This window comes from Homo sapiens, chromosome 6 (assembly GCF_000001405.40).
Source record: "Homo sapiens chromosome 6, GRCh38.p14 Primary Assembly".
NCBI classification, from domain to species: domain Eukaryota; kingdom Metazoa; phylum Chordata; class Mammalia; order Primates; family Hominidae; genus Homo; species Homo sapiens.
Window position 1 is genome coordinate 83,879,695 of NC_000006.12, and position 25,140 is coordinate 83,904,834.

At 36.6% G+C, this 25,140-nt stretch overlaps 2 protein-coding genes across 5 annotated transcripts in view, besides 1 other annotated feature; both read left to right on the forward strand.

Moving 5' to 3' along the window:
* The window catches only part of RIPPLY2-CYB5R4 (RIPPLY2-CYB5R4 readthrough), a 114,064-nt gene that overhangs the window by 26,335 nt on the left and 62,589 nt on the right, over nucleotides 1-25,140 (forward strand). For all 4 annotated transcript variants that reach the window (NR_174604.1, NR_174605.1, NR_174603.1 and 1 more), the window contains one exon: nucleotides 13,828-13,928. Coding sequence is in view for 1 of the 4 variants with exons in the window: in NM_001400774.1 (NP_001387703.1) it covers nucleotides 13,828-13,928 (101 nt within the window). In the remaining 3 variants the exon portion in view is untranslated. The remainder of the gene's footprint in view (nucleotides 1-13,827; nucleotides 13,929-25,140) is intronic.
* The window catches only part of CYB5R4 (cytochrome b5 reductase 4), a 107,735-nt gene that overhangs the window by 20,006 nt on the left and 62,589 nt on the right, over nucleotides 1-25,140 (forward strand). The window contains exon 3 of the mRNA NM_016230.4: nucleotides 13,828-13,928. Coding sequence (NP_057314.2) covers nucleotides 13,828-13,928 — 101 coding nt within the window. The remainder of the gene's footprint in view (nucleotides 1-13,827; nucleotides 13,929-25,140) is intronic.
* Nucleotides 4,922-4,991: a silencer, noted in NCBI's record as "silent region_17362". NCBI's record gives its function as "represses an Ori minimal core promoter by ATAC-STARR-seq in GM12878 lymphoblastoid cells {active_cell/tissue: GM12878}" and the evidence as "EXISTENCE:reporter gene assay evidence [ECO:0000049][PMID:35858748]".

Below are 25,140 nucleotides of genomic sequence, written 5' to 3' on the forward strand. Positions count from 1 at the left end.
GCCTTTCTCGTGTCTGCTTTGCCTATAGTATTTCTCATGAGCATCTCAAGAGGTGAAAGATTATGAAAAAAGAGTTGGCAAGTGGGGACAGAATCCCCTTGTGTCTGAGGTTCTCAGGGATTCCAAATTGGCTCTAGTGCGCACTTGGCCCTTAAAGTTTGTTAAAATTTCAGTTGTTTTGTGGTGACGTCTCATTTTTCTGTGCTCTGCTGAAGCTGAAGGGGTTCATGTGGTTCATCTCCTCAGAGGGGCGTGTCATCCTTTGGAATTTAGATCATCTGGTTGCCTTATGACCTCACCTCTCTGATGGGCTCAAAATTTTATGATTTTTTAATGGATTGTCTGCCTTGTTGTTAAGGGTGAGAGCAGTGTTTTCTTGTGGCCTTCTACTGTTTTCCCACTTTTTAAATTTTTGTTTTTTATTGACACGTAATTGTACATATTTATGGGCTACCATGTGTCATTTTAGTACATGTATACATTGTGTAATGATCAAATCAGGGTAATTAGCTATTGATCACCTCAAATATTTATCATTTCTTTGTGATGGGAACGTACAATCTACTTCTTAAGTTTATTTTATCTTAATGAATCTTTGCAGCTGACTTGTTTTGGAAAATAGGAAATAGCCAAGAGCGGAAGGACTCATTGGCTTTAATTTTTTTTGCCATCCAGGTGACTAACAGCAAAGGTAGTTAAGTGCTGCTAACTGTCACTGTTAAACCTAAGGCATAGACAGTCAGGAAAATGAACCCATGAAGTTGAAAAGACATGGAGGAAGGCAGGGAAACTGATTTTTTTTTTTAAAGAGAATACTTGTGTAATATTGATGTAAGTTGTAAATCCGATTTAATTATTGTAAATGTGGCTATTGCTAATGACTTCTAGTCTCCCTAGGAGAAGTTTATAATTTTTTTTTCAAAACATTTAGTATGTAACTGATTGCTTAGATTACTGATTAATTTTTTATGCTTTTACTGGTCAATTTCCATTTAGTTAAATGTCAGGGCTGTTTTTCCAAGTAGTAATAACGTCACATAAGATGATCTTTGATAATTATGCCTAGTTAATCTTCTGAAGTGCTTAGAGACCTTTATCACATTCTGTTTATTAAGGAGGTAGTATTTAAAAATATTTCTCCTCCTGCATTGGCATCAATATTGGGCCGGTCTACTCTCACTAAGAAGAATCCTACAGTCATCTGCAAATAAGTGTCCTGGGAGCTGTTTAGGAATGGGTGGTGGTGGTAGGAGGTAGATCATAATGTTTTGACATGCAGTCTCTTTGCTTCTTGTTTTTAGTTCATTCTATTTCCTCACTTCAAGTATGTCTGTTTCCCTGAGTGTAATGTCTCTCTGGTTTATCTTCTCCAGAGAGCACACCTACACTTCTCATAGGGTTGGGTAAGAGGGTTGTTCCTTGGTTATGTGAGATATGCCACAGAGGATTTGGGGATTATACTGCCTTTTTTTCTTTTTCTTTCTTTTTTTTTTCTTTAGAGACAGGGTCTTGCTCTGTTACCCAGGCTGGAGTGCAGTGGTGCAGTACCAGCTCACTGCAGCCTCAGACTCCTGAGCTCAAGTGATCTTCCTGCCTCAGCCTCCTGAGTAGCTGGGACTACAGGTGCATGTTACCATACCTGGCTAATTTTTAAATTTTTTATAGAGATAGCGTCTTGCTTTGTTGCCCAGGCTGGTCTCAAACTTTTGTCCCCAAGCAGCCCACCACTCCTTGGTCTCCCAGAGTGCTGGGATTACCAGGCATGAGCCACAACACCCAGCCTCATACTGCTTCTTGTATTGAATTCGATAACTTCTTACACTATGACTTTCGGAGCTGCCTGGAATCTAATTCCTGTACCTTTTGGGGGTTCTGTTGAACAAATTGTTTTTTATGGAAGTTCCTCTCCACCTTATACATAAGCTTTAGTTTCACCTTTCTTCATTCTTCTAAGTATGTTATTACTCATCTGTTTGGTTTTCAGGCTTCCAGAACTTAGTTGCTGTCATCTCTTCTGATTTCTGTAGCTCTGTGATTTTATGTCTTATTTATCCTTTACAGCCATTTTAGAAAGTTTTCAGCATGTGGGAGACAAATGAATGCTTTTAATTCGGAAGTCCTAAGTTCTCTGTTGTCCTAGCAGCTTTTAAGCCTTTTTAGTTAACATTCTTGAATATACCGATACCACATTTACTTTAAATTATTATAAAATCAATTTGTCTTTCATTAATTTATTTTCCATTTGTCTTCATTGAAGTTGGAAAGTTTTATTGCCGAGTGCTCTAAAATAATATGCAGAGTTTCAGTGATTATAGCTGATTATCTCCTGTTAGATCAAGACTCCAACAAATGCCAACTATAAACTCAGACCACATATTTTAAAATACTATCTAAAGATACTGGTGAACAATCAAAACTGGTGAAGATGACTGGTGAACAGTCATCTATATGTAGAAGAAGGGATGTCACTGTGTGAGTTTCCCATTTCTTATGGCATTGAACTTGAGGTTATGTGTGTGTGTTCGTGCTGTGAAGGTGAAAACTCAGGTGGAGACTCAAAGTCTTACTGGCTTGAATAACTAGATGTCAGAAGTTGGGGCATCTGCGGTAACTGGAAGGGGAGAAGATCCAGAAAAAGATTCAGAGAAGGGTATAAACTGTCTAAATCTTGTATACGGGACAGACTCTATGCTACCTGAAGGCTGAAAACGTTGAACAGAGGCTTCATTTTTCACCCCAGCAAAGGGGAACCAGTTTGGAGTTGTGTCCAGTCGAGTTAATTGCCTACTAAAACAGTCAATAATCTTTGCAGGAATATTACAGAATCCAAAGTTTCTACAACATATTTATAAGGTCAGAATATAATCCAAAGTTACTAGATATACTCAAGAGAAAAGGCAGTTATTGGAGTCTGACTCTGAGATGATCCAGATGTTGAACTTAGTTCACAAGTATTTTAAAGCACTATTTATAACTGTGCTAAGTAAGTAAGTAAAAGAATATATGATACAGGCCCGGCGTGGTGGCTCACGCCTATAATCCCAGCAGTATGGGAGCCCGAGGTGGGTGGATCACGAGATCAGGAGATCAAGACCATCCTGGCTAACATGGTGAAACCCTGTCTCTACTAAAAATACAAAAAATTAGACCATGCCTATAGTCTGAGCTACTCGGGAGGCTGAGGTAGGAGAATCACCTGAGCCCTGGAAGCAGAGGTTGCAGTGAGCCGAGATTGCACCACTACACTCCAGCCTGGGTGACAGAGTGAGACTCCATCTCAAAAAAGCAAACAAACAAAGGAAAGTATGGATATAATGAATAAAAAATAGAAACTCTCAGAAGAATAGAAACTAAAAAATAGAAATTTAGAATTGAAAAATACATGAAATAACAAATTTGTTGAATGAGCTTAATAGCAGATTGGTGGCAACATAGACAAGACTTAATGAACTTGCAGATAGATGAATATAAATGTCAAATCTGAAGAACAGAGAGGAAAATTATCAGAAATAAAATGAACAGGGACTCAGGGGCCTGTCAGACAAAATAAAAATGTTTAATAAATGTGTCATTGGAATTCTAGAAGGAAAGGAATGAAAGAATGGGGCAGAAAAATATTTGAAGAAATAGTGGCCATATATTTTACAAATTTAGTGAGAGACATAAATTGTAAATTCAGAGGCTTAGCAAATCTAAACATAATTAATACAAAGAAAATAACATCTAGGCACATCCTAAACTGCTAAAAGCTAACAAGGAGAAAATCTGGAAAGCTGCCAGAGAAAACACACTAGGAAATAATAAAAACGACTGCTGAAGGAAAAGTAACACCATCAACCCTGAATTCTATACCCGTAGGGAGACAGAATTCTTGAAGGATAAAGATGAAATAAAGACTTTTTCAGATAAACCAAAACTGGAAATTTATTACCTGTAGATCTGCAATATAAGATAGATGCTAAAAGGCATTCATCAGGTTGAAAGTTAGTGATACCAGATAGAAGTTCAGATATTTAGGAGGTGGTAAATATGTAAGAGAAAATACTACTTTTTGTCCTCTTCATTTTATAAAAATACATATAAAAAATACATGACTTTAAAAGTTATAACATTGTATTGTGGAGTTAAAGGATAGGAGTTAGAGAGCAGTAAATGGTTCTTATATTACGTGGGAAGGCATACAATATTAACTCTTAAGTAAGCAGGTAAAAGTTGAGGATATATACTACAGTTCCTAGAACAATCACTTAAAAAATAATTTAAAGAGGAAGGCCAAAAAGCCAATCGATTAAATGAAATTCTAAAAAAAGTTTGGTTAACCCAAAAGAAGGCAGGGAAAGAGAAACAGAGACATATAACAGAAAACTTGGGGCTGGGAGGGAGATTAGTAAAATCTCCCATATTAATAATTAAGTGTAAATGAATCGAGCACTCTAATTAAAACTATTATAAATGATAGTTTATAATAATTATCTATCATGTAATTATAATTATCTATTGATAATTATCTTAATTATAGATAATATAGAGATTATCTCTTTGTGTGCACCCATGTGTAGATGTATGTATTATCAAGACCTGACTACATGATGTCTATAAGAGGTATACTTTAAAAACACAAATAGGCTAAACGTAAATGTTTGGGAAAAAGTATGCTATCCAGCTAGTAAATTTTATTATTGGTTGGACTATATTAGTATCTGATAAAAAGGATTATGAGGCAAAGAATCTTACCAGAGGTATAGACATTTTATAATGATAAAAAGGGTCATTTCATTAGGAAAACTGTTTATGCCTGTGATAGAAAAGATTCAAAAGGCATGAAGCTAACATTGATGGAATTGAGGGGTAGAATTAAAATCCTTAACTACAGTTGCATATTTTAACACCTTTCCTCAGCAGTTGACAGGAAGTAATTACAATAATGTGCAATTTCATTACTGAACACAAGATGGCAAAGTAGTCACAGTAATTGTAACAATCGACCTGTGCATTTCAATACAGTGAAATATGCCATAATTTTATCGTGTGAACACATCTTTTCTCCTCGTTTATTTTATAGACAGGAAATGAACAGTGGTGAATAATTGCAAGAATGCTACAGTATACTGGCATAATATTTGGTATATACGTTATAGGCATTAAATGAATTTTTGTTGAATGAATATAATGTGGGGCTTTTAGAATTAAATATTTGTTTGAATTTCAAAACCCAAAATTATTTTTTAATCTTATCACGGAAATAACGCTTTTACTTAAAGCAGTGGTTCTCAAACTTTTTGGTCTTAAAATATCTTTACTCTTTTATTGTTGAAGACTCCAAGGACTATTGTTTAGGACATATCTATTGATATTTATCTTTCAAAAATTAAGAAATGTAAAGAATATTTTTAAAATAATTTTACAAATAATGAGCCCACTATATGTTATAAATAGTACCTATGTTTATGAAAAATAGAAAAGTAGCATTGTTTTACATTTTGGCAAATATCTTTAATGTGTGGCTTAATAGATGACGACTGTATTCTCATGGCATCTTCGATATTCTATCTTATTTGTCATGTAGTATCTTGAAAATGTTACACTTGTGAAAGAATGAGAATAGAAAAAGACAAATAACATCTTGGTATTACTATGAAGAATTTTTGACCTTGAGCCACCAAAAAGGTCTTAAGCTCCCTCAGGAGTCCCTAGACCATATTTTGAGACTCTCTGACTTTCAGAAGTAAACAAAGAAGAAATGAAAAATTATTAATTAGTGGATGTGTGGCCTGAACCATGGTGATACAGTTCACTCCTTATTGGTGAGCCGTTATGGTTCACATGTATGGTTACCTAACCTGAAAATTTGTGGGAACTTCATCTGGAAGATAGATTAGTAGGTATAAAATGTCGCTTTAATCTTGCATTGTACTACCTTTAACCAAACCCTATCATATAGAGCTGGGTGTGAGATTAAGTTGGAGCATGCTGTAATCCAGTTCTGAATTCGGTCTTCTGAGCTATTTGTGATGTGATTCAGATTTTATAGATGGCTTTTCTTCTCTGTGGAGAGTTGGAATAGTGACTAAAAAAGAGCTCTCTGAAATTGGAACCTCTAACTATTGCTGGTAAGAATGGAAAACAGTCTGGCAGTGCCTCAAAAGGTTAAATATAGAATACTCTGTGACCCACCAAATTTACTTTTAGTTGTATATACTCAAGAGAAACGAAAATATAAGTCCACACAAAAACGTGTACATGAATGTTAATAGCAACATTCTTCATGATAGCCAAAAACTGTGCCTTAGTTCATTTTCTGCTGCTTATAACGGAATACCTGAAACTGGGAAATTCATAAAGACAAGGAATTTATTTCTTACAGTTATAGAGGCTGAGAAGTCCAAGGTCAACAGGCCACATCTTGTGAGAGCCTTCTTGCTAGTGGGGACTCCCTGCAAGAGTCCCAATGCAGTATAGGGCATCCCATGGTAAGGGGGCTGAGCATGCAAGCTCAGTTCTCTCTTCCTCTTTTCATAAAGCCACCAGTCCTACTCCCATGAACCCACTAATCCATTAATTCATGAATCTGCCCTGATGACCCAATCGCTTAAAGGCCCTACCATTCAGTACTGCCACATTGGGGATTATATTTCCACATGAACTTTAGAGGGGACAAATATTTAAACAATAGCAAAGTGGAACCAGCTCAAATGCTCATCCACTGATAAATAAATAAAATGTGGTATATCCATAGAAGAAATATTATCCATCCCTAAAAAGAAAAAATACTGATACATGCAACATTATGGATGCATCTTGAAGGCACTATACTACCTGAAAGAAGTTAGTCACAAAGACCACATATTGTATGATCCCATTTGTATGAAATGTCCAGAATATGCAAATCTATAGAGACAGAAGGTAGACTAGTGGTTACCTAGGGGTAGGGTGGATGGGAGTAATGCCATGTAAGGATGTTTCTGTGTACTGTTAAATTGTAATATCTGTTATGTGGTTAGTGTTCCCTTTATGAGGACTCATAATTCTTCACAATATCAAGAGTTACTCCCTTTTAAAGAACTAATGAGCTAGCAAGTCTTCTTTGTTTTATTTTTAATAAATTTTAAAATTAGATAATGAGACCACTGTTACTAGTGCCTCTGTTGGCTTTGGCTGCTAGGAAGTTCAGGACTATATTAAATGCTCACAGTAACGCTGTTAGTGAGGTTAGACAATTGGTATACTTTCTTTTCTAATACACATTTTGTTGTGGGTTTTTAAGTTTTTACACACAGACTTTCACAAACTTGAATTTAAATATTTTATTGTAGGATGCCCACAGTCTTTATCAGAGGCAATTGGGGTTAAATTGAAAACAAATAAATATAAAATGCACAAATGAAAAACTATAGGCAGTGTCTTTCAAGAGAGAAAGAATTCTTTCTGTATAAAAAGGCAATATTCGTTTTTAGGTAAAAAAATGATATCCTTGAACTGAGCTTTTTAAAAAAGTGGTGAGCTACTAGGCACTGGATCTGTTCAAGCAGATGCTGGATGATGCTTTGTCTGTAAGATATTATAGAGATAAAGCCTGTGCTGGATGAGGCTAAAAATTGCCTTAAAGTTCTCCTAGTCTTTAAGACTATCATTCTGTGATTTTGAAGTTTACATTTCTGACAACACAAAGTACTAAATGGTAATTTTAAAATGGGTAATTTTTATTCAGAGAACTTGTTTGAGAGCTCAGAATTCCAGATATAACACAAAAGAGGTAATTTAGTATGAAAAGATATTAAGAACAGGTACTACCAGTACATTGCCTAGAGAAACTCAGTGTAGTTATTGTTCTGAATATGTGTTTTAAATTGTGCTGCCTCTCTGCTATGATGAATTAGCTATACAGTGTACCCCTAATATTGCTAGGGCATTTAAAAATGATTTATTTAAACATTGGAGTATACCTTCCTAATACAACCGTTGTATTTTAGTTTTAATAAGTGGCTCTTCTGAACAGTTCTCAGTCAGTCCTTTTTTGGGTCTGTTCCTGGTTAGAGTTTAAAAAACAAAACACACACAAAAATAAAGTATCAGCATAAAGGAGGGGATGGGTGGGTGGGTGAATGGATAGATGGATGGATGGATGGGTAGATGGATGGATAGATAGATATTCTCCCTAAATCCCCCCTTTGCCACTGAAGAGCACCCATGTCAATGATCTAAAAATACCAGTTGGATTGTGACCAGGAGTCCTTATTTACAGTCCAGTTTTACACCATGGAGGATTGGTGTTTCATGAATCTGTTTAAGCCCATTTTTGCTGTTAATTATTATTAGGATTTAGGTTTTGCAGAACTCACTAATAGCCTAGTATCAATTTGAGATTATATCTGCTGGCCCATAATTATTATTTATTTATATTTAGTGAGTAATTGGATGCTCAGATCTGCCAGACCAGAGCAATTAGAGATGTGGGAATAACTTAATAAAATTGCATCACTGGAAAATTTAGATGGTTTCAAAATTAGTTTCTAAAAACCAGGTGGAACTCATAGAAGGCTAGAACCTTACACATGAGAGATTTTATTTCTAGAAGCCATATATAGTACAAATAGAGTACAGGCATACCTTGTTTTATTGTGCTTCACTTTATTGTACCTTGCAGGTAATGGATTTTTTACAAATTGAAGATTCGTGGCAACTCTGTGTCTAACAACTTTTTGGCACCATTTTCCCAAGAGCATGTGCTCACTTCATGTCTCTGTGTCACATTTTGATAGTTCTTGCAAACTTTTTCATTATTATTGTATCTCTTATGATGATCTGTGATCTTGATGTTACTATTGTAATAGTTTTGGAGTGCCACAAATCGAGCCCATATGAGATGGTAAACTGAATGGACAAATGTATATGTTCTCACTACTCCCCTGACTGACAATTCCTGTCTCACCTTCTTCTTGGGCCACTCCATTCCCTGAGACCCAACAATATTGAGATTAGGACAATTAATATCCCTACATTGGCCTCTGAGTGTTCCAAGTGAAGGAAATGTTGTATATCTCTCACTTCAAATAAAAAACTAGAAACGATTAAGCTTAGTGAGGAAGGCATGTTGAAAGCTGAAAAATGCTGAAAGCTATGCCACTAGTGCCACACAGTTAGCTAAGCTGTGAATGCAAAGGAAAAGTTATTGAAGGAAATTAAAAGTGCTATCCCAGTAAGCATACGAATGATATAAGAAAGCAAAACAACCTTATTGGTGATATGGAGAAAGCTTTAGTGGTGTGGATAGATTAAACCAGCCACAACATTCTCTTAAGCCAAAACTGATTTAGAGCAGAATGCTAACTGTCTGCAATTCTAGGAAGGCTGAGAGAGGTGAGGAAGCTGTGGAAGAAAAGTTAGAAACTAGCAAAGGTTGGTTCATGAGGTTTAAGGAAATAAGCCACCTTCATAACTTAAAAGTGCAATGTGAAGCATCAAATGCTGATGTAGAAGCTGCAGCAAGTTATCTAGAAGATCTAGCTAAGATCAGTGATGTAGTTGAATACACGAAACAACACATTTTCCATGTAGATTAAATAGTCTTCTATTGGCTAAAGATGCCACGTAGGAATTTCACAGCTAGAGAGGGGATGCCTGGCTTCAAAGCTTCAAAGGACAGTCTGACAGTCTGACTCTCTTGTTAAGGCCTAATGCAGCTGGTGACTTGAAGTCAGTGTCCATTTACCATTCCAAGAATCCTAGGGCCCTAGAGAATTATGCTAAGTCTGCCCTGCCTGTGCTCTATAAATGGGACAACAAAGCTTGGATGACAGTACCTCAGTGTTTATAGCATGGTTTACTGAATATTTTAAGCTCAATGTTGAGACCTACTGCTCTTTAAAAAAGTTTCTTTTCAAATTACTACTCATTGACAATGCAACTGGTCACCCAAGAGGTCTGATAGCACTGTACGTCATGCCTTCTCTATTAAGCTGTTCTTGCATTGCTGTAAATAAATACCTGAGACTGAGACTAGGTAATATATAAAGAAAAGAGGTTTAATTGGCTCATGGTTCTGCAAGCTATACAGGAAACAGTGCTGGCATCAGCTTCTTGGGGAAGTCTTAGAGAGCTTTAACTCATGACAGAAGGCAAAGCAGGAGCAGGCACATCACATAGCAAAAGCAGAAGCAAGAAAAAGAAAGAGGAGGGGTGGAGGTGCCACACACTTTTAAATGACCAGATTCTTCAGAACTCTCATGAAGACAGCACCAAGCCATGAGAGATCTGCCCCCATGATCCAGACAACTTCCACCAGGCCCCACCTCCAGCATTGAGGATTACAATTCAACATGAGATTTGGGCTGGGACAGATATACAAACTATATCACCTTCTAACACGGCATCCATCCTGCAGCCCATCAATCCAGGAGCCATCTTGATTTTCAAGTTTTATTATTTAAGAAATACATTTTATAAGGCTATGACTGCTGTAGATAGTGATTCCTCTGATGGATCTGGGAAAAGTAGATTGAAAATCTTCTGCAAAAGATTCACCATTCTGGATGCCATTAAGAACATTTGTGATTATGAGGAGAGAACAAAGTATCAACATTAACAGGAGTTTGGAAGAAGGTGATTCCAGCCCTCATGGGTAACTTTGAAGGGTTCAAGACTTGAGTGGAGGAAGTCACTGTAGATGTGACAACAGCTAGAAAACTAGAATTAGAAGTGGAACCCAAAGATGTGACTGAAATTGCTGCGTGATAAAACTTGAATGGATGAAGAGTAGCTTCTTAGGGATGAGCAAAGAGAGTGGTTCTTGAGATGGAATCTACTCTTGGTGGAAGATACTGTGAACATTGTTGAAATGACAACAAAGGATTTATAATATTACATACACTTAGTTCGTAAAACAACAGCAGGGTTTGAGAGGATTGACATCAATTTTGGAAGCAGTTCTACTGTGAGTAAAATGCTGTTAGACAACATGGCATGCTACAGATAAATCTCTCATGAAAGGTCGAGTCAGTTGAAGGGCAAACTTTACTGTCAACTTATTTTAAGAAATTGTCACCGCCACCTCAGCCTTAAGCACCCAACATGCTGATCAGTCAGCAACCATCAACATCAAGGCAAGACACTTCACCAGCAAAACGTTTAACTCAGTTAAGGCTCAGATGATATTAGCATTTTTATGAAAGTATATTTAATAAAGGTATGTACATTATTGTCTTAGACATAATGTTATTGCACACTTAATAGACAACAATATAGCGTAAACATAACTGTTATTTATTTTAGAGACAGGGCCTCACTGTTTTTTCTGGCTGGAGTGCAGTGGCATGATCATGGCTCACTGCAGCCTCAAACTTCTGTGTTCAAGCGATCCGCCCACCTCAGCCTCCCAAGTAGCAGGGGGACTACAGGCACACTCCACCATGCCTGGCTAATTTTTAGGGTTTTTTTGTAGAGACAGGATCTCACTATGTTGCCCAGACTGGTCTTGAACTCCTAGCATGAAGCAATCCTCCTGCCTCGGCCTCCCAAGCTACTGGGATTACAGGCATAAGCCGCCATGCCTGGCCTAAACATAACTTTCATATGCACTGGGAAACCAAAACATTAGTGTGACTTGCTTTATTTGCTTTACTGCAGTGGTCTGGAACCAAACCTGCAATATCTCTGAGGTACACCTGTATAATAAAGCACGAAGAAAAAGCATAAAGTTTGTTTTTTTATGTTTGTATTTCTCTGCCACATCCAGGGGTCCAAGTTTTTAGTTGTTCAGAAATACTTTTGAGAAGGAAAAAAAGGGAGATAAGGAAGGAGAGAAAGAGCAAAGAAGAGCCTCTGAATCAGAAGAAATGCACCTGTTCTGTTTTGGGGCTAGGTTTAAGTTTCATAATTAGCAAATTACTAACACAGCCAAGTGCTTTTTGATCTAAAGCATCTTGGACTGAGACACTATTTAACAGTGTTAATTCCTTGTGGTAAGGGATAGACATTCCTAGTTTTTTTCGTCTGGAAAGCATGGGATACTACTCACGTCCACGGAGTGATCCTAGCCCCTATCAGAAAGAAAGATAAGATTGTGACAGTATAAGGGTCAATGTAAAGGGCTAGCAGGTTAGCAGAGAACATGTATGGAATGTTTTAGGCTTTATGTGCTCATCATGGATAGCTATTTAAGCTACCAGAAGAGCTGGTTGCTGAAACTCGTGGAATTCCATCACAAATGATCATGGGTTGTAGATTTCTTGTTCTTGAGAAACTGTAGAACTCCAGTCAGGACTTGATTGTAGAGAAAGTTTGGAACTCTTGTTTGGGAGGCATCCTCTGTCTTAAAAAAGCCTATTGGGAGTAATTCTGATCCTAATCATTACCACTCACGTTTTTGGTCTCTGGATTTTGGAGCATTAAACAATGGGAAAAAATTCTTCTAAATCTTGTGGGACTCTAGGCATATGGGGAAGGAAAAAAGAGGGAACTTAACTAGTTTTGTTCAGACTTATTTGGAATGCTGCTGAAAGAAATTCTGTGAATTTACTTCCTTTTGTGCTTACCTTTAAGAGACTTTATAAAGCTGGACTGGTTGGTTATTTTCTAATATATAGCTGGTCAAAAAACTGCAGTACTTTTCTTGGGTCTGAAATCCAACCTCTTCTTTTCTTCCAAGATTATTATATAGGATGAACATTTTAAGTTATCTGAGGTTATTTAAATTCATGGAAGTCATCATATAAAGAGGAAATAGTCCTGGATATTTAAAAAAAACCAGTCGTTGTTATTGCACTTTCGTGATGTCTTTAGGGCTAGATTTGTCTGGTATCTATCTAGTTTTCAAGAATGAAAAAGCAACTTACTTCCTTGGGAGAGCTGTGCATTGAGATATTTTGTGTTTGTTGTTCCCTATTCCTTTCTTAAAAGATAAAAATAAATAACAGTTGAATAGATGAAAGAAATATTTGGAGAAGACAAAATGATTAAATTCTGAATAATAATCTTTGAGAATAGTTGGGCTTCCTTTTCACAGAGCGTGCCTAAGTGGTCACCATTGCTTAACCTTTGCTGAGATGATCAGAGACGTGGATTAGAGCTTGATTCTTTTTTCATCAGATTCTTCTACCAGGGCAATATGGAAATGTTATGTCTGTAGTAGTCACTTTCTCTCTCTCTCTTCCTCTCTCTCTCTCTCTCTCTGTGTGCGTGTGTGTACTTTCAAAAATTATATACACAGTATTTCATTTCTTTGTGTTGGGAGACAATTTTCTTTTGCATTTTTGCATGTCTTGAGAGTAGAGGCACTGTCTTTTTGTACAGTCTTTTAAAGGATATTTGCATTGTGAACAACCTTGAATGTTAGTGTCTCCCTCTAGAAGAAAGGACAGCTTTGCTTACTCTTCTGTATAATAAATATCTCCCTCAGGAGCAAGGGCAGGCATGCTTATAAAAGATTCCAGTTTCCTGAGCTCAGAGTTCCTCTTCTGTAATGCAGCGCATTAAGTGTACAGGTGTTACCTGGCCCTCTTCACATAGCACTCTAGTGAATTAGAGTTCAGTGAACTGACACAAATGTTTATATTCTGACTACTGCTATTGATGTGAGTGCTAAACTCTTCTTTGTCTCTGACCTAGGAGTCTCTTGTTATCTGCCAGGACCCATGAAAGTGGCAGGTTAAGTTGTTTGCTTGCAAGTGTGATGAAATCTCAGATCCTTTACAGTTAGTTCTTGATACTTTGAAATAACAGTGATTAATTAAATGGAATGTATTTGGAAAGATTTATTGAAACTTATATTTATAAGTTTTACAATTTTTGAGAAGTTCATTTAGGATATTATTTCTGTTTGCTTTGGTACAGGTTTCGTTTATAATGTCAGCCCTTATATGGAGTATCATCCTGGTGGAGAAGATGAACTAATGAGAGCAGCAGGATCAGATGGTACTGAACTTTTTGATCAGGTAAGATGTGCTGAAAGTAACCAAAGTATTCCGGTGGAAGAGTACTCAGATTTATCAGTGTGACATTTGTAGAAAGAAAGGAAATAGTTGCATAAATTCCAGATGCATTGGCTTGAATTTTGAAGTGTGGGAAGATGCTCACAAGTAGCAGCTGTTCATTTAATTTGCCCTTTGAGTTATTAAAATTTTAGAGATGTTTCAAATCTGCGACTAGGGGTCTTCTTTTAAGTGTTCGCTGCCTCCTTTGTTGGTAAGTGTTTATTCAGTCTTGATTAGTTTTGATAATGATCGGCTTATGGGAGGTAGTGACAATTGGAAGAAGGAACATTGGGATCCGCTGCTAACTTGCTGAATCACTTTAAACAAGTAACTTAGCTTCTTTTCTGTTAGTCCTTTGTCACCTAGGGATTGCTATATATTCAGCCTACTGCTATATACTGAATTTGCATGTCATGTAGAAAGTTAGCCGATGGTGATTAATGAATAGAAACTTATTTTTCCTAGCATGATGGCAGAGATTCTGTATAGGTTATCTCAAAAGATATTTAAATTAGTCACTTTTCCCCTTATATTTACTAAAAACTAGCATTAGCTCTTAAACTATTTTAAAGTTATGCAGAATGTTGATTACTCTCAGTAATTCTGAGTATTCTGAGACAACAGTCTTTAGAAAGATAGAAATTTGCCTTTGTCTCATATATGCTTTATTTTGTATTTTAATGATGATTAACCATGTTGTAATATTGGATTTTTATCATTCGAGATACCTGAATCAGGTTGGGTTATATTATAGCTGTTTTTTTGATCAAATATAATTTGATTTCTGTTCTTCCTATTTTCTCATCCATTTTAGGACTTGTTTTTTGACCATGTTGCCAGAAATAGAATTTGTTTTATATAGTTGACCTTTGAACAATACAGGGATTAGGGGTGCCAACACCCTCACTCTCCCATGCAGTAGAAAATTCATGTATAACTTTTAACTTCCCAAAAACTTAACTACTAACAGCCTACTGTTGACCAGAAGCCTTACTTATAACATAAACAGTCAATTAACATATATATGTATGTTATATGCATTATATACTATATTCTTACAATAAAGTAAGCTAAAGAAAAGAAAATGCTATTAAGAAAATCATAAGGAAGAGAAAATATATTTATATTCCTTAAGTGGAAGTGGATCATCATGAAGGTCTTCATCCTCATCTTCATCTTGAGTAGGCTGAGGAGGAGGAGGAGAAATAGGGAGGGTTGGTCTTTCTGTCTTGAAGTGTCAAAGGTAGAAGTAAACCCATATGTAAATGGACTCGGTTGCAGTTCAAACCTGTGTTGTTCAAGGGCCCATTGTGTTTGAGAGCACTTAGGTGCATTTGCTTAAATGGCAGGATCTCATTTGCTGTTAATGTTCTTCCTGGGTTGGAGAAGAGTCATGTTTACTCTTGGTCATAACAGCATTCTCCTTGGAAGGTTTTTATTGCTGTTTTAAGGCAAGTTCCCATTGTTATTTGGTATTTGCTTTCTCTCTGTCTGCCTGCCTGCTGTCTGTCTGTGTATCTATGAGACAGAGTCTCGCTCTGTCCCCCAGGCTGGAGTGCAGTGGTGTGATCTTGGATCACTGCAACCTGCGCCTCCCAGGTTCAAGCAGTTCTTGTGCCTTAGCCTCCCGAGTAGCTGAGATTACAGGAGTGTGCCATCTCGCCTGGCTAATTTTTGTATTTTTAGTAGAGATGGGGTTTCGCCACGTTGACCAGGCTGGTCTTGAACTCTTGGCCTTAAGTACTCTGCCTGCCTCAGCCGCCCTAAATGCTGGGATTATAGGTGTGAGCCATTGCGCCTGGCCTGGTATTTGTTATCTAGCAATGCAAGCTAAATAGAAAGGTTTAGGAACATTTGCCTAAAAACTTACCTGCTATACTTTTCTCTTGAATCTGCCTTGTAACCTCCTAATGTTGAATGTACTGTGCCACAAGAAGAATTTCCAATAAAGTCTAGTCTTATTTCTGTTCTTGAGTGTTATGAGGTCATATAGACCTTATTTAAGGAAAGCTTGTTTTGGAGAATTCACAAGAAGTGCTATATTGTTAAGTTTTCTAGTATTTAAAACAATATTTACTAGATTGCTAGATTCAGAACAATTAGATTGCATTCTTCTTGGCTTTAATAAGACCAGTGATGTTTAATTATTTATGACTTGCTCAGCACAGAAGTAAACTAGAAACTACAGTGACGCTTGCATTTTTCAATATGAGAATTTACTTGTGCCCAGTATTTTAGCTGCACAAATAATAGTAATTTCCTTATTGTCCTATTTCTGTTTTTATCCCACCGCTGACCTCTTATCTTGCATTTCCAAATACCTGATAGGCAATTTAATGCCCTATACTTCAACTCATTATGCCCTCAAATAATATCAAGTCATTTTCTTTCCTCTTTTTCCTTCTGTTTCCTGTTTCTTGTAATAGGGGCTTGAATTCCCGGAGTAATCTTTTTCATCTCTGCTTGTGCCCCAGTATCCAATCACTGGCCAAATCCTATGATCTGTCTTTTTCTCCCTTCCCACTACCTTAGTTCACTCACTGTAGCCATATTATTTTAATACTGTCTTGATATCTTTACCTTCATTACCAATTTAGGTAACATGACAGCTAGATTAGATTTCTTAAAGACAATCATCTTAGTACCTTGCTCTGCAACTCTCAGTGGCTCACCCCTGACAGGGAAGTACATTTACACTCATTAGCCTGGCATGTGAGGTCCTAAAAGAATATATCAGGGTAAATATTCCCAACATGCATCTTGCTTTGCACCCTTCCCTGCCTCTGATGTCTATCATTCTATTCTCTATGTCAATGAGATCAAATTTTGTAGCTCCTATGAGTGAAAACATGCAGTATTTGTCTTTCTGTGTCTGTGTATTTCACTTGATGTAATGATCTCCAGTTCCTTCCATGTTGCTGCTAGTGACATAATTTCATTCTTTTTTATGGCCAAATAGTATTCCATTGTATGCATATATTATAACACATTTTCTTTATTTATCCATTCCTTGTTTGTGGACACTTAGGTGGATTCCATATTTTTGCTATTGTGAATGGTGCTGCAGTAAACATGCAAATGCAGGTATCTCTTTGATGTAATGATTTATTTTACTTTGGATAGATACCCAATAGTGGGATTGCTATGGTAGTTCTATTAATATTTTAGTTTTTTAAGAAATCTCCATACTGTTTTCCATAATGGTTGTACTAATTTACATTCCCAACAACAGTGTGTGAGTTCCATTTTCTTTTTTTTTTTATTATACTTTAAGTTTTAGGGTACATGTGCACAATGTGCAGGTTTGTTACATATGTATACGTGTGCCATTTTGGTGTGCTGCACCCATTAACTCATAATTTATCATTAGGTATATCTCCTAATGCTATCCCTCCCCCGTCCCCCTACCTCACAACAGGCCCCGGTGTGTGATGTTCCCCTTCCTGTGTCCATGTGTTCTCATTGTTCAATTCCCACCTATGAGTGAGAACATGCGGTGTTTGGTTTTTTGTCCTTGCGATAGTTTGCTGAGAATGATGGTTTCCAGCTTCATCCATGTCCCTACAAAGGACATGAGCTCATCCTTTTTTATGGCTGCATAGTATTCCATGGTGTATAGGTGCCACATTTTCTTAATCCAGTCTATCATTGTTGGTTCCAAGTCTTTGCTGTTGTGAATAGTGCCACAATAAACATACATGTGCATGTGTCTTTATAGCAGCATGATTTATAATCCTTTGGGTATATACCCAGTAATGGGATGGCTGGGTCAAATGGTAATTCTAGTTCTAGATCTCTGAGGAATTGCCACACTGACTTCCACAATGGTTGAACCAGTTTACAGTCTCACTAACAGTAAAAGTGTTCCTGTTTCTCCACATCCTCTCCAGCACCTGTTGTTTCCTGACTTTTTAATGATGGCCATTCTAACTGGTGGGAGATGGTATCTCATTGTGGTTTTGAGTTGCATTTCTCTGATGGCCAGTGATGATGAGCATTTTTTCATGTGTCTGTTGGCTGCATAAATATCTTCTTTTGAGAAGTGTCTGTTCATATCCTTTGCCCACTTTTGGATGGGGTTGTTTTTTTCTTGTAAATTTGTTGGAGTTCTTTGTAGATTCTGGATATTAGCCCTTTGTCAGATGAGAAGATTGCAGAAATTTTCTCCCATTCTGTAGGTTGCGTGTTCACTCTGATGGTAGTTTCTTTTGCTGTACAGAAGCTCTTTCGTTTAATTAGATCCCATTTGTCAATTTTGGCTTGTGTTGCCATTGCTTTTGATGTTTTAGACATGAAGTCCTTGCCCATGCCTATGTCCTGAATGGTATTGCCTAGGTTTTCTTGTAGGGTTTTTATGGTTTTAAACATTTAAAGACTTAAAAACATTTTTATGTTTTTATGGTAGCGTTTTTATGGTTTTAAACATTTAAAGACTTAAAAACATTTAAGTCTTTAATCCATCTTGAATTAATTTTTGTGTAAGATGTAAGGAAGGGGTCCAGTTTCAGCTTTCTACATATGGCTAGCCAGTTTTCCCAGCACCATTTATTAAATAGGGAATCCTTTCCCCATTTCTTGTTTTTGTCAGGTTTGTCAAAGATCAGATAGTTGTAGATATGTGGCATTAGTTCTGAGGGCTCTGTTCTGTTCCATTGGTCTATATCTCTGTTTTGGTACCAGTACCATGCTGTTTTGGTTACTGTAGCCTTGTAGTATAGTTTGAAGTCAGGTAGCATGATGCCTCCAGCTTTGTTCTTTTGGCTTAGGATTGACTTGGCAATGTGGGCTCTTTTTTGGTTCCATGTGAACTTTAAAGTAGTTTTTTCCAGTTCTGTGAAGAAAGTCATTGGTAGCTTGATGGGGATGGCATTGAATCTATAAATTACCTTGGGCAGTATGGCCATTTTCACGATATTGATTCTTCCTACCCACGAGCATGGAATGTTCTTCCATTTGTTTGTATCCTCTTTTATTGCGTTGAGCAGTGGTTTGTAGTTCTCCTTGAAGAGGTCCTTCACATCCCTTGTAAGTTGGATTCCTAGGTATTTTATTCTCTTTGAAGCAATTGTGAATGGGAGTTCACTCATGATTTGGCTCTCTGTTTGTCTGTTATTGGTGTATAAGAATGCTTGTGATTTTTGCACATTGATTTTGTATCCTGAGACTTTGCTGAAGTTGCTTATCAGCTTAAGGAGATTTTGGGCTGAGATGATGGGGTATTCTAAATATACAATCATGTCATCTGCAAACAGGGACAATTTGACTTCCTCTTTTCCTAATTGAATACCCTTTATTTCCTTCTCCTGCCTAATTGCCCTGGCCAGGACTTCCAACACTATGTTGAATAGGAGTGGTGAGAGAGGGCGTCCCTGTGTTGTGCCAGTTTTCAAAGGGAATGCTTCCAGTTTTTGCCCATTCAGTATGATATTGGCTGTGGGTTTGTCATAGATAGCTCTTACTGTTTTGAGATATGTGGCATCAGTACCTAATTTATTGAGAGTTTTTAGCATGAAGCATTGTTGAATTTTGTCAAAGGCCTTTTCTGCATCTATTGAGATAATCATGTGGTTTTTGTCTTTGGTTCTGTTTATATGCTGGATTACGTTTATTGATTTGTGTATGTTGAACCAGCCTTCCATCCCAGGGATGAAGCCGACTTGATCATGGTGGATAAGCTTTTTGCTGTGCTGCTGGATTTGGTTTGCCAGCATTTTATTGAGGATTTTTGCATCAATGTTCATTAGGGATATTGGTCTAAAATTCTCTTTTTCTGTTGTGTCTCTGCCAGGCTTTGATATGAGGATGATGCTGGCCTCATAAAATGAGTTAGGGAGGATTCCCTCTTTTTCTATTGATTGGAATAGTTTCAGAAGGAATAGTACCAGCTCCTCCTTGTACCTCTGGTAGAATTCGGCTGTGAATCCATCTGGTCCTGGACTTTTTTTGGTTGGTAAGCTATTAATTATTGCCTCAATTTCAGAGCCTGTTATTGGACTATTCAGGGATTCAACTTCTTCCTGGTTTAGTCTTGGGAGGGTGTATGTGTCGAGGAATTTATCCATTTCTTCTAGATTTTCTAGTTTATTTGCATAGAGGTGTTTATAGTATTCTCTGATGGTAGCTTGTATTTCTGTGGGATCAGTGGTGATATCCCCTTTATCATTTTTTATTGCATCTATTTGATTCTTCTCTCTTTTCTTCTTTAGTAGTCTTGCTAGGGGTCTATCAATTTTGTTGATCTTTTCAAAAAACCAGCTCCTGGATTCATTGATTTTTTTGAAGGGTTTTTTATGTCTCTATCTCCTTCAGTTCTGCTCTGATCTTAGTTATTTCTTGCCTTCTGCTAGCTTTTGAATGTGTTTGCTCTTGCTTCTCTAGTTCTTTTAATTGTGATGTTAGGGTGTCAATTTTGGATCTTTCCTGCTTTCTCTTGTGGGCATTTAGTGCTTTAAGTTTCCCTCTACACACTGCTTTGAATGTGTCCCAGAAATTCTGGTATGTTGTGTCTTTGTTCTCATTGGTTTCAAAGAACATCTTTATTTCTGCCTTCGTTTCGTTTTGTACCCAGTAGTCATTCAGGAGCAGGTTGTTCAGTTTCCATGTAGTTGAGTGGTGTTGAGTGAGTTTCTTAATCCTGAGTTCTAGTTTGATTGCACTGTGGTCTGAGAGACAGTTTGTTATAATTTCTGTTCTTTTACTTTTGCTGAGGAGTGCTTTACTTCCAACTAAGTGGTAAATTTTGGAATAAGTGCGGTGTGGTGCTGAGAAGAATGTATATTCTGTTGATTTGGGGTGGAGAGTTCTGTAGCTGTCTATTAGGTCCACTTGGTGCAGAGCTGAGTTCAATTCCTGGATTTCTTTGTTAACTTTCTGTCTCATTGATCTGTCTAATGTTGACAGTAGGGTGTTAAAGTCTCCCGTTATTACTGTGTGGGAGTCTAAGTCTCTTTCTAGGTCTCTAAGGACTTGTTTTATGAATCTGGGTGCTCCTGTATTGGGTGCATATATATTTAGGATAGTTAGCTCTTCTTGTTGAATTGATCCCTTTACCATTATGTAATGGCCTTCTTTGTCTCTTTTGATCTTTGTTGGTTTAAAGTCTGTTTCATCAGAGACTAGGATTGCAACCCCTGCCTTTTTTTGTTTTCCATTTGCTTGGTAGATCTTCCTCCATCCCTTAATTTTGAGTCTATGTGTGTCTCTGCACGTGAGATGGGTTTCCTGAATACAGCATACTGATGGGTCTTGACTCTTTATCCAATTCGCTGTTTTGTGTCTTTTAATTGGAGCATTCAGCCCATTTATGTTTAATGTTAATATTGTTATGTGTGAATTTGATCCTGTCAAATGTTAGCTAGTTACTTTGCTCGTTAGCTGATGCAGTTTCTTCCTAGCCTCGATGGTCTTTACAATTTGGCATGTTTTTGCAGTGGCTGGTGCCGGTTGTTCCTTTCCGTGTTTGGTGCTCCCTTCAGGAGCTCTTTTAGGGCAGGCCTGGTGGTGACAAAATCTCTCAGCATTTGCTTGTCTGTAAAGAATTTTATTTCTCCTTCACTTATGAAGCTTAGTTTGGCTGGATATGAAATTGTGGGTTGAAAATTCTTTTCTTGAAGAATGTTGAATATTGGCCCCCACTCTCTTCTGGCTTGTAGAGTTTCTGCCGAGAGATCAGCTGTCTGATGGGCTTCCCTTTGTGGGTTACCCGACCTTTCTCTCTGGCTGCCCTTAACATTTTTTCCTTCATTTCAACTTTGGTGAATCTGACAATTATGTGTCTTGGAGTTGCTCTTCTCGAGGAGTATCTTAGTGGACTTCTGTGTATTTCCTGAATTTGAATGTTAGCCTGCCTTGCTAGATTGGGGAAGTTCTCCTGGATAATATCCTGCAGAGTGTTTTCCAACTTGTTTCCATTCTCCCCGTCACTTTCAGGTACACCAATCAGACGTAGATTTGGTCTTTTCACATAGTCCCATATTTCTTGGAGGCTTTGTTCATTTCTGAGTTCCCTTTTCTTTACATCCTCACCAGCGTCTATTATTTCTTGTTTTTTTTTTTGTAATAGCCATTCTATCTGGGATAGGATGATGTCTAATTATGGTTTTGATTTGCATGTCCCTGATGATCAGTGATATTGAGCATTTTTTCATGTACTCATCAACTATTTGTCATCTTTTGAGAATTGTCTATTCATGTTCTTTGCCCACTTCTTAATGGGATTACTTTTTTTTTTATGGTTGGGTTCCTTATATATTCTGGATATCAGTCCTTGTTAGATAAATAGAGTGCAGATATTTTCTCCCATTCAACATGTTGTGTCTTCACTCTCTTGATTGTTTCCTTTGCTGTGTAGAAACTTTTAAGTTTAATATAGTTACATTTGTCTATTTTTGTGTTGTCTGTGCTTTTGAGGTCTTAACCATAAAATCTTTGCTTAGACCAATGTCATGAAGTGTTTTTCCAGTGTTTTCTTCTAGTGATTTTATAGTTTCGGGTCTATATTTTAAGTCTTTAATCCATTTTGAGTTGATTTTTTAATATGGTGAAATATTGGAGTTCATTTTCATTCTTCTGCATATGGATATCCAATTTTCCCAGCACCATTTATTGAAGAAGGTGTCCTTTCCTCATTGTATATTCTTGACGTCATTGTTGAAAATCAGTTGGCTATAAATATGTGGATTTATTTCTGGGTTCTCTGCTCTGTTCTGTTGGTTTATATGTCTAGTTTCATACCAATACTGTGCTGTTTTGGTTACTACAGCCTTGGAATATATTTTGAAATCAGGTAGTATGATGTCACCATCTTTGTTCTTTTTGCTCAGGATTGCTTTGGCTATTCTAGTGGGTTTTTGGTTCCATATGAATTTTAGGATTGTTTTTTCTATTTCTGTGAAAAATAACAGTGGTATTTTGATAAGGATTGCATTGATTCTGCATATTGCTTTGGGCTGTATGTTCCTTCTGATTGTTACTAATTCTTCTGATCCATGAGCACAGTATATCTTTCCATTTGTTTGTGTCCTTTCACCAGTTGTGTTCTTTCATCAATGTTCTGTAGTTTTACTTGTAGAGATCTTTCATCTCTTTGGTTAAATTTATCTGTAGCTTTCTTTCTTTCTTTGTAGCTATGGTTAATGGGATTGTCTTCTTGATTTCTTTTTCAGCTATTTTATTATTGGCGTATAGAAACACTGCTGAGTTTTGTATGTTGATTTTGTGTCTTGTAACTTTACTGAATTTGTTTATCAGCTCTAAGGTATTTGGTGGAGTCTTTTGGTTTTTCTAAATACAAAATAGTATTTGTTAAAAGGGACAGTTTGACTTTCTCTTTTCTAATATGGATGCTTTTTATTTCTTTCTCTTGCATTGCTCTGTCTAGAACTTCCAGTACTGTATTAAATAGGGGTAGTGAAAGTGGGCGTCCTGTCTTGTTCCAGTTCTTAGTGAAAAGGCTTTTAACTTTTCCCAGTGCAATATGTTGTTAGCTGTGGGTTTGTCATATATGGCCTTTTATTATTTTGAGGTATATTCCTTCTATGTCTAGTTTGTTGAGAGTTTTTATTATGTAAGAATGTTGAACTTTATGAAATACTTTTTTGTGTGACTGAGATGATCATACAGTTTCTGTTTTTCATTCTGTTGATGTGATGTATCACATTTACTAATTTGTGTGTATGTTAAACCATCCCTGACTCCTTGGGATAAATTCCACTTCATCATGTTTTATTATATTTTTGATGTGCTGTCAAATTCATTTGGCTAGTGTTTTCTTGACATTTTTCCATTTATGTTTATCAGTGATATTGTAGTTTTGTGGGGTTTTTTTGGTTGTTGTTTTTGTACACTTACTTGGTTTTGGTATCAGGGTAATGCTGGCCTTGTAGAATAAATTGGGGCGAATTCCCTTCTCTTCAATTTTTTGGAATAATTTGAGGAGGATTTTGATTTACTCTTCTTTCTACATTTGGTAAAATTTTACAGTGAATCCATCTAGTCCTTTGTTGTTGCTGTTGCTGTTGTTGTTCTTGGGAGTTTTTTTTATTACTGATTCAATCTTGCTACTGGTTATTGGTCTGTTCATGTTTTCTATTTCTTCCTGATTCAATCTTGATAGGTTGTATGTTTCCAGGAATTTATCCATTTTCTCTAGGTTTTCCAGTTTGTTAATATATAGTTGCTCATAACAGTCTCTGATGATCCTTTGTATTTCTTTGGTATCAGTTGTGTTGTCTCCTTTTCATTTCTGATTTTGTTTACTTAGGTCTTCCCTTTTTTTGGTTATTCTAGCTAGTGGCTTATCAATTTTGTTTTATCTTTTCAAAAATCAACTTTTTGTTTTATTGATCCTTTGTATCTTTTTAAAAAATCTATTTCATATAGTTCTGCTCTGACAGTTATTATTTCTTTTCTTCTCCTAATATTGCCTTTGGTTTGTTCTTGCTTTTCTAGTTCCTTGAGGTACATTGTTAGATTGTTTATTTGAAATCTGTCAACTTTTTTGGAGTAGGCATTTATTGCTATAAACTTCCCCCTTAGATACTGCTTTTGCTATTCCACAGGTTTTGGTATGCTGCATTTCTATTTTCATTTGTTTCAAGAAATTTTTTTATTTCCATTTTAATTTCTTCTTTGACTGAATGGTGATTCAGGAGCATGTTGTTTAATTTCCATGTATTTGTATGGTTTTGAAAGTTCCTGTTAGTATTGATTTATTTTACTGGGGCCTGAAAATATACTCAAGAGGATTTCAGTGCTTAAAAATATGTTGAGACTTGTTTTGTAGCCTAACATATGTCTGTCATGGACAACGTTATATGTGCTGATGAAAAAAAATGTGTATTCTGCAATCGTTGGATAAATGTTTTATAAATGTCTGCTAGGTCCATTGGTCTGAAGTCCAGTTTAAATCCAATGTTTGTTGATTTTTCTCCCTAGATGATCCGTCTAATGCTGAGAATGGGATTTTGAACTCCCCCACTATTATTGTATTGGAGTTTCTCTCTCTCTTTAGATCAAATAATACTTTGCTTTTGAATGTGTTTTGTATATCATTCAATGAGTTCTTCAGTTCCAGAATTTCTGTTTGGTTCTTTTTCATGACGTCTATCACTTTTGTAAATTTCTCATTCATATTCTGAATTGTTTTTTGTATTGTTTTTTATAATTCTGTTGT